At 43.9% G+C, this 19,133-nt stretch overlaps 1 protein-coding gene across 3 annotated transcripts in view, besides 2 other annotated features; it reads left to right on the top strand.

The window, feature by feature from the left end:
• The window catches only part of PPM1H (protein phosphatase, Mg2+/Mn2+ dependent 1H), a 291,157-nt gene that overhangs the window by 208,563 nt on the left and 63,461 nt on the right, over positions 1-19,133 (top strand). For all 3 annotated transcript variants that reach the window (NM_020700.2, XM_011538578.3, XM_017019676.3), the window contains exon 6: positions 6,299-6,417. In NM_020700.2, coding sequence (NP_065751.1) covers positions 6,299-6,417 — 119 coding nt within the window. The remainder of the gene's footprint in view (positions 1-6,298; positions 6,418-19,133) is intronic.
• Positions 990-2,189: an enhancer, noted in NCBI's record as "MED14-independent group 3 enhancer chr12:63118179-63119378 (GRCh37/hg19 assembly coordinates)". NCBI's record gives its function as "activates an origin of replication core promoter dependent on BRD2, BRD4, P300/CBP and CDK7 cofactors, and independent of MED14, by STARR-seq in HCT116 cells {active_cell/tissue: HCT116}" and the evidence as "EXISTENCE:reporter gene assay evidence [ECO:0000049][PMID:35650434]".
• Positions 8,508-9,020: an enhancer, noted in NCBI's record as "NANOG hESC enhancer chr12:63111348-63111860 (GRCh37/hg19 assembly coordinates)". NCBI's record gives its function as "activates a minimal SCP1, AML or CMV promoter by ChIP-STARR-seq in naive H9 embryonic stem cells {active_cell/tissue: H9 hESC(naive)}" and the evidence as "EXISTENCE:reporter gene assay evidence [ECO:0000049][PMID:30033119]".

Below are 19,133 nucleotides of genomic sequence, written 5' to 3'. Positions count from 1 at the left end.
CCTCTTCTCCAGGATTTTGGCTTTCCCTAAAATTATTAGAACAAGAAGCAGTAACGCTCTTCTCAGCAGTCTTTTAAAACTTGCTTTAAACACTGGGTTCTCAAAAAACTAATTTTTAGAGGGTTTTTTTTTTCAAATGAAAGTAATCTGTGTCCAATGGTCAAAATATCCACAATTATGGATACATTAAAAAGAAAACCCTCAGATAACTTTTTTAAATATTTTGATGACTGTACATGTGTAAACATGTGTGCATATAAGACTATATAAACTTTTATGATTGCACAAAAAGATAGACTAATAACCGTAAGTGTTTTCCTCTGAAAACCAACAGGTTTTTACAAATTGTGTGCAGCCATGTATTTTAGCATCTCATTTTTCATTAAGCAACCATATGTTTGCTCTGTTTGTACCAAGTTCTTGAGAAGAGTTCCTTTAATGCCATTAACTCCATAGGGTTTGACATATGCAACAGCAGTAAGTATTGAATGTGGTGGCAAGGAGGTGGGTGGTGATTTTTTAAAAAAGAGAGAGTGGTAAAAATATATCACAGGTACACAAGGAGTACTTATAATTTCTATGGTAAGCATGATTATGACAGAAAATGAATCATGCCACCTGTGCTGTGTCAGTTAGCAACAGAGGAAGAAAAATCAGAAGGATGGAGAAATCTAAGAGTGTGGCATCAGTATCAGTGGGGGGGTGACTATGACAGTATTTCCTCAGAACTAAGACACGTCTTTGTTTTTTTTTAACATATCTGAATTTTATATTTGATTTTTGCTGCCAGCCAGGGGACAGGCATGACATGTCATCTCCTGGACATATGTGAACATCAAAAGGGCAGACACCTGCAGGGGCGGAAAAGATTTCCTCACCCATCACAAGGTCCCCCATAAGAAAAGACAAGATAAACAAGAGAAAAGCATACAAATCTATTTAATATAAGTTTTACATGACACAGGAGACTTTATGAGAAATTGAAGACCTAAAGAAATAGGTAAACTTTGTATATTTTTATGCTTAAGTTTGAGGAAGACTGGACAGTCATGGAGAAATATAATTGGATAAAGTGGGTGTGATCTAATGGGAATAAACTGGGGAGAATTTAGCAAGGCTGTTTGTTCAGATTCTTCTGTATCCCTGTGTCTTCAGAGTTAAAGATGTTTCTTTCCTCTGGATATGGGGCGGGCACCTCTGGAATGAGGATCCTGTGACCTGCTTCAGGGGAGAGGGACAAGGGGAAGTTGAGAGACTTTCCTGTTTCTGCTGTTTCCTCAAATGCCAAGGTGCCATTTTTTGGGGTAGAATGTCCTGAGTCCCAACACACCAAACTTTTGTGGGATGGGTGTCCAGCAGCTTGGAAGAACATCCTGCAGAGAAAAGTGAAGGGCTTGTTAAGCATCACTGGATCCAACTAATTGTGCGGAGGAGTTTGAGGAGGTGTGACTCAGACTTGCTTAGCCACATTCCTGAAGTGGGAGTCAGAAGTAAGCTGGCTCTAGAGGATTGCAAAGCTGGCTTAAGAACTTCTGCACCCTTAGCTTTGAGGCTTCCAGTGCTGTTGTGGATTAATTAAAAAATGCTGCGTCACCGGTGCTCTCATGAAACACACAACACTTCTGTGTGGAAAATTATGAACATACATGATTCAGAGTTGAAAAATGATGAGAGCAGTTGGATTCTAAATGTAAAAGTTTTGGAAACCTTAGCCAACCTACTTCAATTCTATATCCCTTATTAAATATATACAATAGTGATAGATAATAAAAATGTGTCTAAGTCTCAGCTCTTATGAAAAGGATAAAATTAAAATTTGAAGTGTTAAGAAAGAATTATACATATTTTAATTGGCTGCTTTTTTTCTTCCTGGAAGTAATAAAATGATGGTGCGTCTAATGGCATATATGTTTGATGAAATATCATACCCTGTTGTTATCCTGGAAGAAAGCAAGCAGTTTGTGGAAATCATGAAAGGCTCTGTGTGTGAAGGCGCCTCAGAGTGACACAATATTTAAGGCCCTTTCAAACCTGCACATCCTCAGAGGGAGAGGGTAGGTGGCCCCTGCAGTTATCAAAGCTGTTGAGGAGTTCCCAACTAACCCACAGACATCTGCCTCAACAGATCTTCTGACGCAGCCACCCAGGCAAATGGATATCAGCCAAAAAGAGCCCAAGGGTCCCTGGTTTAAAGCACCATCAAAGGGCCCACTCATCCTCCTGTTAGGAGGCAAAGCGCCTGAAATCTCCACACTTACCCTTATGTGGGAGAAGAGATTTCTTACCCATTCATGGCTGATGCCCCTATAACAAAAGACAGATTAACAAGAGAAAAGCAAACAAATTGATTTAATATAAGCTTATGTCACATAGATGTCTTCAGAAAGCCCCAAGGAAACAGGGCAAACTGTATTTTTAGGGACAGTCATACAGAAGTTTGATCAAAGGACAAAAGATCTAATGGTAATAAACTCAGGGGTAGGGGTACTTAGCAAGGCCTGTTTGTTCAGCATCATCTTGGCATCCCTGTGTGATATTTCTTTCCTCTGGGTATGGTGCAGGGCCCCTCTGGAATCGGGTCTTAATGATCTATTTTCTGGGGAAGGTGAGCTAGGTCTCATGGCTTGCTTTAGAGGAGGAGTAAGGGGAATTCTTCCTAGTTTCTATGGGCTGCTTCTCCTGTTCCCTCAAATGCCCAGGTACTGTGATTGGAGGTAGTGTGTCCTGAACATGCATCACCTTCTTAGACATGGGGTTTGTTAAGAAATGTGCTCAGGAATGTCGTTTGGATTCTTACCTGTTTGTTAATAATATATATGCATGCCACGTATCTGTATTTACACACACACACAGCCTTAGTCTGTCTGGTGCTGCTATAACAATACTACAAACTGAGTAATTTATAAAGAACAAAATTTATCACAGTTCTGGGGTCTGGGAAGCCCCAAGATCAAGACACTAGCATCTGGTAAGGGCTTTCTTGCTCTGTTTTCACATGGCAGAAGGTGGAAGGGCAAGAGAGTGAACTCACTCTCACAAGCCCTTTTCTATAGCAGCATTAATTCACGAGGGCTCTACCTTCATGGCCTAAACACCTCCCAAAAAGTCTGCCTCCCAACATTGTTGCATTAGGGGTTAAATTGCCAACACATGAATTTTAGGAGACACATTCAGACCATAACATGTTCATTTGTAAACAGATGGTTCCCAACTTACTTTTTTTTTTTAATCAGGGCAGCCTTCATTTTACAAAGCAGAATGAAAGCACCGCTACTTTTTTTTTTTTAACTTTCTGATATTGTGAAAGCAATATGCATTTGGTAGAAATCATACTTCAAATTGATTTTGAATTTTGACCTTTTTCCAGGCTAGGGATATGTGGTATGATACTCTCTTGTGATGCTGGACGGTGGCAGTGAGCCAGCAGCTCCTAGTCAGCCACCCAATCATGAGGGTAAACAACCTACACTTTACAGTGGACTGTGTTGCCAGATGATTTTGCCCAACTGTAGGCTAATGTAAGTGTTCTGAGCACATTTAAGGTAGGCCAGGCTAAGCTCTGATCAGTAGGCTAGTTGTATGAGATGCATTTTGACTTACAATATTTTCAGGTTACAATGGGTTTACTGGGATGTAACCCCACTGTAAGCAGAGGAGCATCTGTGTACGTATGTATGTCTTCTATAAAGATCTGTGCATATATGACCCAGCACTCACAAGTTCATGCACACACACATATTGTTTGATGACCTGCTTTTTTACACTTAACGCAACTCTGTGTCATTGCATATTCTCTGTAGTGTCATTGTAAGTGACACCATAGAATTCTTTTGTTTGGGTTTATGCTAGTTTATTTAATGAGTTATTCATTCAATGATTTCTTCTAGTTATTTAATGTTATAAATAATGTCAGAGACATTTTTGTGCCCATACTGTGTGTGGCTCTGTGTGTGTGAGTTCTTTTAACAAGGTTTACTGATTCAGACTTTGCTTGGTCTAAGTGCAAAGGATCACAGGCCTCTTATGGCCCCTTTACTATCTTTTGTAAAAATGTGTGTGTAGGTTAAAGGCCCAAAATATGGTTAGGATGAGGGTTATAACCATGATATTAAGCTCAGGCTCAAGATCCACCCAGTCTTGGGCGAATGACCTCGGGCTAGGTCTTAACCTCTCCAGGATGTAGTGTTCTCATTTGTAAATCAAATCGACTCCTGCTTTGTAAAATTGTTGGGGAGTAAGATCAGGTGTATGAAGTACCTGGTATGGGGCTGGCACATGGTAACCCCTAAGCCCATGTTAGTCCAGCTTGGGTAGTGGATTGTATTCATGCTGATACAATCTGAAAGTTCTGAAAGATCATAAAGGGCTTATAACAGATGGTGCTGTCCGTTGACCACTTATGCCTTTGTTCCTTAGTTTTCATGGGCGGACTAAAATAAAAAGAATAAAATAGTATGTACCCAGTAGGCATGACGAGCTTCATGGGCCTGTGACTTGTGCGGTCGCGGAGGGTGCCGTGCTTAGTTTAGTGCTCTGCTTAGTTTAATGCTCTGCTGTCCCTGTCTTGAAATTCTTGATTTTGAACACAGGCTCCCTGTTTCTGTTTTTCACCGGGCCCCACAAATGATGTAGCCAGTGTTGTCCAGAAGATTGTTAAGAGGGTGAAATTAGAACTCTCAAAGCACTGAGTGTAGTACTCAGGATATAATAGGATTCAATAATCACTAGGTGACTATAATAATTTTTTGTAAGCAGAAACAACTAAGTATATTAATAGACATTACATTATGAAAACAGCAGTGTGGGATATATAATTAATCTCATTTACAGATAAACTGAGGCCCAAGAAATTAAATAACCTGCTAAAACCACATTGCTTATGAAAGCAGAGCTTGGATTCACACCCAAATTCTTCTCACCCAAAGCACCACTGTTGACCTGACCTATTAAGTGTTAGTTCCCTTCATTCCTTCCCAGGAGAACCTCTCTGTAAAACCTCGTATTTAAGCTTCCTTGATACCCATCAGCACCCCAAGCCTTACTCCCAGCAGAATTTTCAGAGCCCCTCAAAGTGATCCAGAATTCCCACCAGACCTAGAAACTGTTGAGGCTACAGCAAATGGGAAGCACAGTTCTCCTGCTCACCCTCAGTCACCCTGTCTCATCCCATCCTGTCCTGTCCCCAAGCCTGCCCAGAATTACTTGCTCAGAGTTCCATATCTGGGCAAATATGACCAGCCTGGTGACAACTTAGCTTCCTTCCTTTGGTTCCTGAAAAACTTAGCATTGGATGACTACCATCTAACTAATACCTCCAGACCTTCATGAGAATCAGTGAGAGATCCGCCGGCATTGGGTCCTAGCAAAGTAGCTGTAAGAGATGCCTATGACCCATACACTGAGGACCTGACCATCTGCCTGGTGGCAGAGATCCCTTGCTTTCCTACACTGCCAGGCTGTGATTTGCTCTGCCCACTCTTTTCCCTGCCAGAAAAGAAAGAAGATCCATTCCACCATGCTGCTCAGAAGCAGGTAGACAGCTTCATGTGGGGAAGTTCTAGTGCAGGCCTGCTTGCAGCATGTGGCCTCTGAGTAGAGAAGTTAGTACGTGAGCATTGCGTCTCTCGGATTGCTAGATTTGAATTTTGAATGTGACAATGAGACTGTTGTTTCAAAGCAATTCCCTAAGTGGCTGTTTGCTCAAGACTTTTGTAGTGTGAACAGAGATTTGGGGGAGGGGGAGAAGCCATCTGCTCCAGAATAGTCTTCGAATGACACGATCAAATGACTGCAGAGCAAACTGGAGGGAGTCCAACAGAAAGTTCCTGTCTGCTGCATCCAGCCCCAACCAGCACTCAAGCCATTGTGTTTACATGGAAGCTCACACACAGGTTTCAAAGGCAAGGCCGTGATAACCAAGGATGTAAGTGAGATGAGTGTGGAAAAGACCACGTCAGGGAGCTTTCTCACCCCGTATCTCACCAGTATACCATTTGGAAAACTAAAAAGCCATTCTTTAGAGAGAAGCTCAGTCTTTTTTCCTGATCCCTTCAGCTATGCATTTGGTTACAATTAATGTATCAGATCAAATGAAAAAGTTACATTCCTTTGTAAATTCATTTTTATGTGCTCGTCTTCTATTAGTGTTTAAACTCTGAAATCTATTTACTTAAAATATGAGGCAATTTTCTTGTTTTTAAAATATGGCCTGTCTCAATTTGCAAAACATCCTTGATTCTTATTTTGTTTCTCTAAATACGTGTATGTGTGTGTTTTTTCTTTTTCTTTTTGCTATTAGGCATTCATGCAGCCTCACTTGCTGGGAAATGAGTTCACACATTTGGAGTTTCCAAGGAGAGTACAGAGAAAGGAGCTTGGAAAGAAGATGCTCTACAGGGACTTTAATATGACAGGCTGGTAAGAACATGCCTTCCTCTGCCTCGGAACCACACAGTGTGTGTGAAGGAAGCATCACCACCATAAACAGCCAGTTACACAGTTTGGATCAGGAAGCACAGCCAGAGACCAGGGTTTGTGGTAAAAGACAAGGGGGTACACCTGCCTCTGCTATGTTTGCTTAGGACCAAATCACGAGCCTTGGTTTGCCTCTCTGCTTCTTCGAGGCCCTCCTTGGGGATATTGGACCCCAGGAAACTGACCTGATTTCTCACTTCACATGTAGCAAATATTTGAGGGCTTTAAAAACACATGAAGCTTTATGTGTTTAGGTCAGGGTTATTAAAGAGGTAGAATGGCCAAAGGTTTATTGAGCCAGACTGACTTGGGTTTGAATCCTGACTCTGATTCTTCTAAATGAGCAAAGTTGGTTAAATTGCTTAACCTCTAGAGCCCATTTTTCCATGGATAAAGTGATAAAAAGATATATCCTTTGAAGATTCATTATCAAGGCTAAAGTTAATGAGCTATTCTCATTAATATCACATTCAAATTGAAATAAGAACTCTTGTCAGGGGGGTTGTCGTATTCCGAAAACACAACTGTGTAAGCATCAAGAACATTTCTAGGATGGAGCAGTGGCTAATGTTGACTAAGACCTCAGCTATTTCTTTTATCTGACTGATAGATATGATAAGTACTTATACACTATAGGGTTAATGTAAGGATTAAATGAGAGCGCAGTGCCTGGCACTGTGTGGGTGAAGATTTGCTCTTGTGCCCTGGGGTCCTAACGAGCGAGCCTCCTGCCAGTCTGGAGACCATATGAGAATGAGACCATGGACCCTTTCTTCCCCATATCTCCAAAAGAGTCAAAGAAGTAGATTAAGTAGATTTTCTTATCTCTTCCCCATTGACCAAAATAGCAATAGCAGATGGTCACAGCCCAAATTCCCATGGTGATGACTTGGCCAGGGATCTACTGCCAGGGTACATACTGTCTTCAGGGAACAAGTTGAGCTACCCAGAGAAGATAAGAGGCCAAGGGGCTTCTGGTTGTCCTTTGCCAACCAAGAGAAGTTTCTCACCTGTATCCACTCTTCTTCCTCTACAACAAGGTTAGCAAACTATGACCTAAGAGTCAAATTCTGCCTACCCCATCTACTTCCAGAAATAATTTTTAAAAATATAGCTACACCCATTTGTTTGTTTGATCTGTGACTGCCTTCACACTGCAACAGGGCAATTAAGTAGTTGCATCACAGACTGGTTCTCAAGCCTAAGAATTTACCCCTGCTCTAAAATATGAATGGATTTATCAGAAAGGGTTCACCTTTGCAGCTCTGAGTTCTGGAGTTTTGATGCCCCAGGGTCATCATACCAACCCTGACTGGGTTTTCTTGTGAATCCATTTTTATTTAGTTAGCAAAATCAGCACTTGTACAGGAAAAGTTTAATGTGAGAGCTAGTGTAATTCAGCAAAGCATCATGGGGTTTAGTCTGGGAACTGTAGAGTTTGGAAAGATGGAACGTTAGGAACCCACATGGTTGTAAACACATAAAAAGAGTAGATCTAAAAGACAGCAAGGAACATGACCAAATAGAAGAGGAGAGACTATGGGAGACAGATGGGGCTGGTACTGAGGGAACATGATAGGGAAAACGGGATGCCAGACAAGTTTAGATTTACTGGGAGGCTATGGGGTGCTCTTATATATTCCTGAGAAAGAGAAATAAATGAAAGTGATGTTTTTGGAGGGCCATTCTAAGAGAAGTTGGAATGAGATTGACTAGGAGAGAAAGCAGATTCAGGTACTCAGAGAAAAACTATCATAACAACATTTATGTGAGGTCTCGAGGCCTAAATAGAGGGATAGAAGCAGAAAACATGGAACGAAAATGAATAAGAAACTAAATGATTTAGGCCAAGGGATAAAGGTAAGAGGTTAAGTCATTGACAGCACCAGTTGCCTATTTAAATATGTCTCTTTAACAAGTCTGTAGGCTCCTTGAGGGGGACACCAGTGCCTAGTCCTGTGCCTGACACATAGTAAACAGGCAGCAATTATGTATTGGCTGAAAGGAATAAAGGAGGTATAATTGACAGAAGTGGGGAGATCAATGTTGCAGACAGTTGATGTGCACATTTAAAGCAGATTGAGCTTGAGGCAAGGCTGTACCTATGTTCTTTCTATGCCAGAAAGGCAAATTAGATCTAAAGTAGTCAAAACAAATGATAAATATCTGCCTAGGATTTTGTAATAAGGAAAAGTATCTTTGTTGCAGATGCTTAGTATTGATTCAAAGGGGGAGAAGAACAGCTCATTGTTACTAACTTTGAAAAGCACTCCTAATGAGATAATAGGCATCGTCACTTTAATGGGCCAGATGCTTTCAAAGGCTGTAAAGGTTCCACTCAAACCTCTCTTTGTAAGTAGAATGTGTGATGAGGTTAGTTTTTTTATGTTTCTTTCTCCAAACCCTGGAAGCTCTGCTTTTGTGTTTTGTTTGTTTTTGTTTTTTGTTTTTGTTTTTAGTGGCTTGTACATTTTAATATTTAGAAAATGGCTAAAGATTGTCCTGGTTTTATAATTAAAAAAAAAATGTAGCTAAGTTCAGGGACTAGATTATATCCAACTTTATATGCACACAGTTACTTTCTTTCACTCTTGCGTGCACACTTGCTCTTGTTCTCTTTCTCATTTTCCTTCTCTTTCTCTCTCTCTCTCTCTCTCTCTCTGCATTAGCATGGTCCTAAGCAGATAAACAGTCCACAAATGGGCTATTTTTAATTGTATAGAACTTCACAGAAGGTAATGAATAATGAAGGAGCCACAACTGAGAATGGCTTTAGTCAGATGTGATTTGCTGATTTGTTTTCAGCCTAATTCCCCAAACGGCTGTTGGCTCACAACCTTGGCTACAAGCAGATTTATGTGCATCTTTGTGCATTTCCTACCTGTTCCAACTTTTGATTTGAAAATAGGACTTAAGTTGAAGAAAAGCCCTTTACATCTTTGTCAGAAGAACCTAAGAAATTGAAAACCAGTTTAGGCCAAGCACAGTGGCTCATACCTATAATCCCAGCATTTGGGGAGGCATAGGTGGTAGGATCAGTTGAGTCCAGGAATTCGAGGGTGCGGTGAGCCAGAATCATGCCACTGCATTCCAGCCTGGGCAACAGAGCAAGACCTCATCTCTAAATAAATAAATGAATCAGTAAATCAATCATCCATTCAATTTAGACTACTGCCTACGTAAAGCACTCCCCCCAACTTTAATGAATTCCTTTTTAAAATGTTTTTACCCTCTAGCAGAAAGCCTTAGATCTAGCAGTTATTTTTTAGGACTTAAAGATGGGAGGCTGGGCATGGTGGCTGATGCCCATAATCCTAGCACTTTGAGAGGCCGAGATGGGAGGATCACTTAAGCCCAGGAGTTCAAGACCAGCCTGGGCAACATAAGGAGACCCCATCTCTATAACAAATTTTTTTTAAATTAGCCAGGCATGGTGGCATATGCCTATGGTCTCAGCTCCTCAGGAGGCTGAGGTGGAAGGATTGCTTGGGCCTGGGAGGTTGAGACTGCAGCAAGCCATGGTTATGCCACTGCACTCTAGCCTGGAACCCATTCTTCTGAAACCTTCTAACAAGTAAAAAGTCCACCTACTGCAAAGCTGTTTAATCCTTGTAGTAAATGCCTAGTTGTGGAATTTTTTTTCTTCCTCATCTTCCACTAATCATCATGGTAATGGGGCTGACAATTATTGGAAGAGCTAAGGGCCAGACACTATGATGAGAGCTTTACCTAATTCCTCATACCTAACGCTTAAAACAGTCCTGTGAACTAGGTACATTTTACAGATGAGGAAACTGAGGCACAGAGCTAAGTTGCTCAAGGTTACATAACTCGTAAGAGGAGAAAGTGGGATATGAATCCAGGCAGCGTAACTTCAGAGTGTGTGGTGCTTACTAAGGTGCTAAACTGCCAAATGTGGAATGACCCCCCCTTACTCCCATTTTGCAGGTGAGCAAATTGAGGCCTAGAGGTATTAGGTGGTTTGCTCAGCTTCTGACACAGCTTGCACACAGCTGATGCAAATGTGTCAGAATAAGGACTAGAATCCAGGTTTCTGACTTTTTGTTGGGGTTCTTTCTAATACAGTGTGCCAGTCAGCTTTTCTTTAGGATAATTAGACATGATCATTCAGTTTCGAGCTTCGGTGTACATTTAAGCAGGGGCCCTCTGTCCACCAGGACTGGTGTCTTGACGATCCTATAGGGTCAAGAGGATGGAATGAAGCATTTTAGGACTGCTGAGGCCGTCCCTTTTCTAGTCCCCAGTCTGACCCTGTAGACCATTGCTCAAATTAAACTGATGCTTCACACTTCTCACTAAGAGCTTGTGTCATTTGGGGGTGGGGGTTCTGGGGAAGATCCCAAAAGGACCAGTTCTTAGAAAAATTGCCTGCTCTCATTAGAGGAGCACCACGCCGGCACTCAGTGGTGTGTCTGCTGCAGGAGGAAGTGTGGGAGAGGATGTCAGCTCTGGGAAGGCTTGTCTCATAATTAAGGATGAGTCTGTTGCCTCTTAATGGGGATCCTTTTTTTTCCCACCCTCATGCTTTCACGGAGACTGTGGAGCAGCTTGGCAGGCTCAAATTGTTTTGAGGACAAAAGGTTATTGTCACCAGGACCTTCATAATGCAGTTGGCCTCTTCCCTGGCTCCCCCACCTCCCCTTCCCCCTCTCCTCAGATAGTTTGCACAGTGGCTAGATTTACAAAGCCATTCTCTTCGCAGTGCCCCCAGTGCTGAGTTCATTCCTGATGGAGTCTTCCCTTGCTCTCCCTATCACCCCCTTGGCTCTCACCTCCTGCGCATGGTGTCATTGGTCCCGGTGCCAGAATCCCCAAGCTGGGGCCCATCCTCCCCATCCCTTTGTGTTGAGCTGCTGTTGCAGGATGCACACTGTAGCTGGCATTGTGTTGCCTTGAGAGCAGTGTATCCCGACCCGCAGCCCTCTGAGATGTCTCAGGCCATAATTTACTGGCAAGTGTCTATGTTACCGAGTTGAAACAGCAGTTTCTCACAGCTCGCTTTGTGGCACCAAGTCTCTGCTCCTGTGACCACTGGCTATTCCGCTTTCTCAAGTAGGATCAGCGTACTTCGTGCCATGTCCAGCCACCTGGGGTGGCAAGCAAGCCAGGGACCCAGAGGGACATGTGTGTGGGAGGGGGCTGAAACTTCACCCCTGGCGCCAGGCCAGATTCTCCAGCAGCTGTTCCTGGGCTGATGGGATTTGTAGAGAGAGCAAGGGCCAAAGAAGAAAAGTCCATCTTGTGAATGCTAGATTGCTTCCAGATGGTTCTGGTCATGAGCAAAGTATACCAGAATTCTTCCTTTAAGCAAAGCCTTTCTAACGTTATGATGGTCTCATTTCAGGGGCAGGCTGGACTGGTAACTTGAGATCACATGCTTGACTTGGTAAAGAGAGTCCTGTTTTGGCGATAGGCACCTTGTGTACTTTGCTCTGCCAAGCTTCTGGGGCCTTGGGCAGATCCTGGCCTAGGTCTCTCGTAAATACTTCCTCTGACCATTGCTGCGAACCTCTAAGTGTGGTGGCGGCAGGGGGTAGGCTTTGCTCTGCTTTTAGAGCTGCTGGAAAAGACAGATCCCATTAGAAAGATTCCAGAGATGGCAGTGTTTTATTTTGTCCCTTAGAGCCCCTAACTTTTTATAATTCTAACTTGATGATACATCACGATAATTTTCCCTCCTCTGTTTCCCTTAAAACTATGAGCAAATAGGGGATTTTCCACTGGGAGCAGAGTGGAGTTAGCCCATTTTCTCCTTTCAGCACTTTCTACTTTTATTGAGGCAAAGAGAAATTTCCATTCTCTGTGCTCTCGAGCACAGTAGCCACTAGCCACATGTGGCCATTTAAATTAGCTAAATTACATAAAATTAAAAATTTATTTCCCGAGTTGCCCTAGCCACATCTCAGTTGCTCAGTAGCCACATGTGGCTAGTGGCTGCTGAATTGGACCATGCAGATATAGAACGTCTCCATCATCACAGAAAGTTCTACGGCATGGTGCTGTGGTCTACATAGTAGAAGAGCGTGGGTATAGTTGGGAATGGTGTGGTGCAAGGAGCTCTCTGTAACTCAGCATCCCAACAGCAAAGAGTTTTTTGTTTTGGTTTGTTTTTTTTGTTTTTTTTAAAGACAGGGTCTCACTCTGTCACTCAGGCTGGAAGGCGGTCACATGACCATGGCTCACTGCAGCCTCAACCTCCCGGGCTCAAGTGATCTCCCACCTCAGCCTCTTGAGTAGCTGGTACTACAGGTGTGTGACACCACACCCTGCTAATTTTTGTGTATTTTGTAGAGACAGGGTTTTGCCATGTTGCCTAGACTGGTCTCAAACTCCTGGGCTCAAGCAGTCCTCCTGCCTCAGCCTCCCAAAGCGCTGGGATTACAGGGATGAGCCACCAAACCTGGCCCCAAAGAGTTTTTTAAAAGGTGGGATGGGTACTGATAACTGTGGACAGGGAATGGTGTAGCCACACCGGCCTCTGGTGCCTCTGATGCCAGACTCTGAGTCAGCAGAGGGGTGGGCTTCACACCCCTTTCCTGATCCTCAGGGGCATCAGTCATTGTGCTTAGGAACAACTCACTTCATAGCCAGTAGTCACTTTTGGGCCACCAAGAAGCTGCATCCAGCTGGCCAGACTAAAGGGAGACCCATTTCATCAGCCCTAGTCAGTAGCGCACCTCCCCTCCTCAAGCAGCCCAGCAGCCTTCTTTCAGCTCTCTCCCCTATCTCCTGGATGAGGACCAGCTGCTGGCACTCTTGTCCCTCTTGCTTTTCCTTTGATTTCTTGGGGAGTAATTCAGGCCCTGAGAATATGATTTAAAAGCAGCTTGGCTTCCAACCCTTTCCACTGTGTTTGGGGTGACCTTTATTCTCCATCTATAGCCTGGAGTTTGGCTTGGGGTGGAGAAGCACAGCCCCACAGCATCAGGCTTCTCACCAACCATCCAAACGCTTTCTGGAGAGAGAAACTCACTGGAGATAGTTCCACACATGGTCTGGAGCTGCCAGGTTGGGTTTTACAAATATAGATACAGCTTCTATCTTATTCTTTATTGCTCTCTTCAATGCCCTCTGACAGTGCATTCAAGCAGGCTGACAAGGAAGTGGATGAGCAGATTGAGAAACGCCACAGAATGCTTATGAAGCCAACTCCAGAGCTGCGCCCGCATTTAATATAAATTGATTTATTGAATCAAGCACAGAAGCCCTGTTACAGAAACCCCAGGCTTTATCCTCTTGAGGACCACCTAATAAAGCAGCCCCAACTGACACTCCTCATTAGCTTTTCCACGGATCCCAAGGCGGTTTTTAAAGGGACAGTGTCCCTCTTTGGGGCCCAAATTTATGTGTTGGCCATGCCTGTGGGTCTAATTAGCTCAGCGTTATTAGCCTACCTTAGAAAGCCTACATTTTTGAACAGCTTGACTCTTGAGTTTTACAGAGTAATTGAAAAATTCAAACTCAGTACTTTTCCCTCTTTCTGCTTTTAATCACTCTTAACCCAATCTTCGGAAATTTACCTGCAGATGTCTCTGGCATTTTGGGGACACAGAAGGATCTCTCAGTCCCACCCCAGTGTAAATCCTGATGTTGCCGTCATGCCACAGACCTACCTCATGGGGAGGCTTTTTACACTCACCAGAGAAATATCACATTTTAATTTTATAATTACTTCACAAGAAAGCAGGCCTTTCCCTAGTGAAACCTGGTATTCATTTCCTCTCAGCAACTTGTATTTTCATAATTTAATGATTACGGGCCACCTTGGCAGCAGTCTGATTGCTGAAAGCACTCTGAAAATCTGACCTTGTAGAGACAGGGGCAGGGGGGATCATTTCAGAGAATTTTAACCCCAAACCTCAATAGATTATCCAGGATGGAGAATGGCTGGGCCAGGGATTAGGCACCTGAAAAGTCCCTGTGTTCCAAATTCCAACGGGGCTGGAGTCCAACTCAGAATGGGTCAGCCCCACATGGGGAGGGGCCTCTCCCGGGGCTTCCAGAGCTGAGATGATGAATGGTTATTTGCTATGTGCATGTTCTGCATCTTTTCAAGATTTGCAGCTCTAGCTGCAGGAGCAGCAGGGAAGAAAGCGGGCCCTGCTGTGTGCAGCACATCTCCTGACAGTGATGAATGACTCCCTGCTCCCTGCCCTCCTGCGCAGGAGGCCAGTGGAAGCTATGGGGTCTTTACGAATGGTTGCAAGCCAAGACAGACAGGCTTTGTCAGACCACAGGGAGGAGAAAGAAAAGAGATGCCCCACCAGCTCGCTCCCCATTGATCATCACTCACCCTACACACGCATGCACGCATGAATGCACTCACACACGTCTCTCTGCTTCAATGAGTAAAAGTTTATTGTCCTAAAGTGGCTGAACTATTTCCAAGCCTTTCTTCCCCCCTCAGACCCTTCAAACACTCACAGCATTTATATCTATTATCCACATACGCTTAAGCAGAGTCACACGGCGCTTCCCCTGTGACTGGTGTTTGGGGTTGTACAGTATGTATGTGATAAGAACATAGCTGCAAGTCATCTGGGGAAGTTTGGGGATGTCAAGTGCTTATAAAAATCTCTCTTAAAGTAGTGTCCTTTTAACCAAGAAGGCCCTGTAGACACTTACCATCTATTTGACAGGCTTGTATTGTACACCTACTACACAGTAGATGTTGAGTAGCAGTTAAGAGCAAGGATGCTGGAGCCAGACTGCCTAGCTGGGCCAATCCCCACCACAGATCATTTTGCCACTGTCAGCCTTGGTTTCCCCATTTGTAAAATGAAGCTAATAATGGTACTTGAGGCCAGGTGTAGTGGCTCACGCCTGTAATCCCAACACTTTGGGAGGCTGAAGCGGGTGGATCCTTTGAGGCCATGAGTTCAAGACCAGCCTGGGCAACATGGGGAGACCCTGTTTCTATAAAAAATACAAAAATGTTCTGGGTGTGTTGGCACGTGCCTATAGTCCCAGCTACCTGGGAGCCTGAGGTGGGCAGAACACTTGAGCCCAGGAAGTCAAGGCTGCAATGAGCTGTGATGATACCACTGCACTCCAGCCTGGGCAAAAGAACAAGATCCTATCTCAAACAAACAAAACAGTACTTGATAATAGTTGGGATATTATGGGTTAGTAAGGTTGAGTGCATTGAACAAAGCCTGGCATATAATAGCGCGTGATGAGTTTCTAATACTATAATCATTAGCTATTATGGAGAGTGAAAGGGTCAGCAAGAGCTGCTGCTGGCCTCAGGAGGTCTACAGTCTGTTGCTGAAATGCTGCCTCTGCAAGGTAATGAGAAGCTAGAAAACAAAAAGACAAAGGAAGGCAGTTTCGAGAAGAAACTAAAGTCAGATCAGGTCTGCTGGCTGCCTCTGCCTAGCAGGTCTGTCCTGCAGCATGGCAGATGAAGATGGGTTTGACACAGAAAACGTAGAGCTCTTGTCTGTCAGAAGAGACACCATCACTACAGCCAGGAAGCCCGTTGCCAGCCCCTCTGTCCCAGGCACTATTTGATAGGATGTTTTTTGGTTTGGGGACTTTTTTTTTTTTTTTTTTAAAGAGACAGTCTCACTCCACTCTGTTGCCCAGGCTGGAGTGCAGTGGTGTGATCTCAGCCCACTGCAACCTCCGCCTCCCAGATTCAAGCGATTTTGATGCCTCAGCCTCCTGAGTAGCTGGGATTAAAGGCGTGCACCAACATGCTGGGCTAATTTTTGTATTTTTAGTAGAGACAAGGTTTCACCATGTTGGCCTGGCTGGTCTGGAACTCCTGAGCTCAAGTAATCTGCCCACCTCAGCCTCCCAAAGTGCTGGGATTACAGGTGTGAGCCACACTGCACTCAGCTGATGCTGGACCTTTTAATGTACTCCTGTAGTCTTCCAAACCATACCCAAGAAGCTGGGAGGGTCAAGCCCATCTGTGGTTAAAGCATGTCCTTGCGTAGGAAGGATTTCATCATATAGGACTATGTTAGCTTTAAAGAGATTGCCACGTGGCCCAAGACTGGCTTTTTTTTTTGAGACGGAGTTTCACTCTTGTTGCCCAGGCTGGAGTGCAATGAATGGCGTGATCTCGGCTCACTGCAACCTCCGCTTCCTGGGTTCAAGCGATTCTCCTGCCTCGGCCTCCCGAGTAGCTGGGATTACAGGCATGTGCCACCACGCCCAGCTAATTTTGTATTTTTAGTAGAGATGGGGTTTCTCCATGTTGGTCAGGCTGGTTGTGAACTCCCAACCTCAGGTGATCCGCCCGCCTCAGCCTCCCAAAGTGCTAGGATTACAGTCGTGAGCCACCACGCCCGGCCTTTCTGGAAATTTATTGAACAATATCATTTCACCTTTAAACCTATTCTTCAAACTTCCACAGTGGGGGAAGTAGATCTGTTGGGACATATGTATAAATAACTAAAGCAAGACAAAAGATAAGAGTTATACAAAAAGGTTTGAAGAAAATGCCTGTGGCTGTGGTGGAGGGAGTAGTTGTTTTGAGAGGGGAGATTGGGATTGGGGAGGACTTCCTGGAGAAGATTGTTTGAACCAAAGATCTGGATTACGAGAGGGGTTTCAAGAAGTTTGGAGAGAAGGACATTCGGAGCAAAGGGCACTGTGCCAGCAGAAGCCCAGAGGAGTGAAAATGTGATGTGTGTTTTGGGAATTTGGAAGCCAGAGATAATATTCAAAATATTTGGACAATCAAAATGGACAAGTAGGCCCCAGCTGGGCTGCAGCAGGGTCCTAGAAGCCTCCCTGCTGTGCCAGGCATTAACCCTTTATTTACTGTTACCTCTTGGGGATTCTAGGGGAGAGTCCAGAGCAGCAGATGGGGGCATTCATGGAGACTGAGACAGCCATTGTTTGCTGACTAGCATGGAACGTTTCAATGTTTTAGCCCTTCGTGTGCAGTTATATTGGTGTGTATCAGCTAGATAACAGTCCCGGGAGGCTCACATAAGTGACATGTCAGAGGGAGCAAGAGGGTGTAGAGCAGTGGTGGGCAGTGAAGCAAACCATGAAACTAGGTAATTACATTGGAGTCAGCTCATGGGGAACTTTGAATGCCAGGCTAAGGATGCCAATAATGAACAGAATTTTATTTTCCCACCCTTAAGAGCTCCACACCTTAAGGGTGGAATATGACGTATGAAAATTACACACAAGGCAGAAATATAGAGCTGACAATATGTATATCCAGGACATATAGGGGACTACTAGGAGAAGAGGGAGGGGGTGTGAGCTGAAAAACTACCTATTGGGTACTGTGCTGACACTTGGGTGATGGGACCATTTGTACCTCAAACCTTAGCATCACACAATATACCAGTGTAACAAAGCTGCCCATGTACCTCCTGAATCCAAAATAAATAATAAATGAATAAAAATACAATTTTTATCAGTGACTTAGAAGATGATTTAAGAAAAAAGAAAAGGACCTATGGGCTAATTCTCAGCCTATTTTTAGGATCCCATTTCTAAGGAAATTCCAGAGAAGTAGGTACACTACCACTCCTGAAATTTTCCAGGTACTCACAAACCCACCAAGGAAACATTTTCCTGTGTCCAACCAACACTCTTTCAGTTACAATTAGTTCACTCTTACCAGAGCTTGATAAATTTTCTGCTTTTCCCAGCTCTCCAGGTTTCCCAGCAGGAAATTGGCACAGCTGGTTTCGAGCTGATAATCCTATGAAGATGGTCACCTGCGGTGGCCTGGGGGCCTCTTCATCTAAATCAGCTGTGGTGATGGTTTCAAACTCCTTGCTTCTGGGCTTACCCTAGTAATCCACACACAAGAGCTGGAGAGCCACCACTCCAAACCCTGAAAAATCTCATCCTACCACCACCGTCCTCTTACCTTCAGACAAGTAAATCAAGGACTTATTAAGAGAGAGGCTAAAGTTTTGTGTCTGTTCCTTGCTGGAGAGCTGAAAGCAGATCTCTCTGTAAGAGCCAGGAAGGCTGATAACAAAGATGCCAGCGGTGTTTCAGAACTAGTGTGTTGTCAGTTGCCTCTCTCCTTTGTTGTAATCAGATCATAAGGAAAGCTTCAGAAGCCTCATGAGGGGATGGAACACATTCACTTTTTGTTCTTCACCTGGTTGCTCTGGCAAAAGCTGTAGTATTCTGCCATATTCCAGGTTCAGATTCTGCTGAGATGGGATCAGCCTTGTCAGTCTTCCAGGGTAGATCAGATGCTATGTATCACTCTCTGTACCTAAAGGACAAGGCACAGAGCTTCATCTCTGTGGGACAATCAGTTTCAACTACTATTCATTAAGTGAACCAGGTATTAGGTTGGGCATTGAAGATACAAAGCAGAAAAAAACAGTGCCAACCCTCATGGTGTTTACAGTCTAGTGTCAGGACAGGGCCATATATGGATGATTACAGTTTCATACAAAACTAATAGACAAAGGTTTACCTACATTGAAGCTTTGTCATCTGGGGCAATTACTGAAAACATTTCAGGGTCTATTTTATCTGCTGAATTAGAATCTCTATGGATTCTGCATTTTTTAATAAGCACCCCAGGCGATTGCTGTATATCCTTAAACATTGACTTTGGGCAGCCCTAGAGTTTGTTACAATGGATATGAATAACAGTTTGCAGAAGTGGTCGGTTAAAGAGCGCTGGGCAGCCT

Source organism: Homo sapiens, chromosome 12 (assembly GCF_000001405.40).
Source record: "Homo sapiens chromosome 12, GRCh38.p14 Primary Assembly".
Classification (NCBI taxonomy): Eukaryota; Metazoa; Chordata; class Mammalia; order Primates; family Hominidae; genus Homo; species Homo sapiens.
Note: the sequence above shows the minus strand (reverse complement) of the source record. Positions and strands in the feature narration are given on the sequence as shown.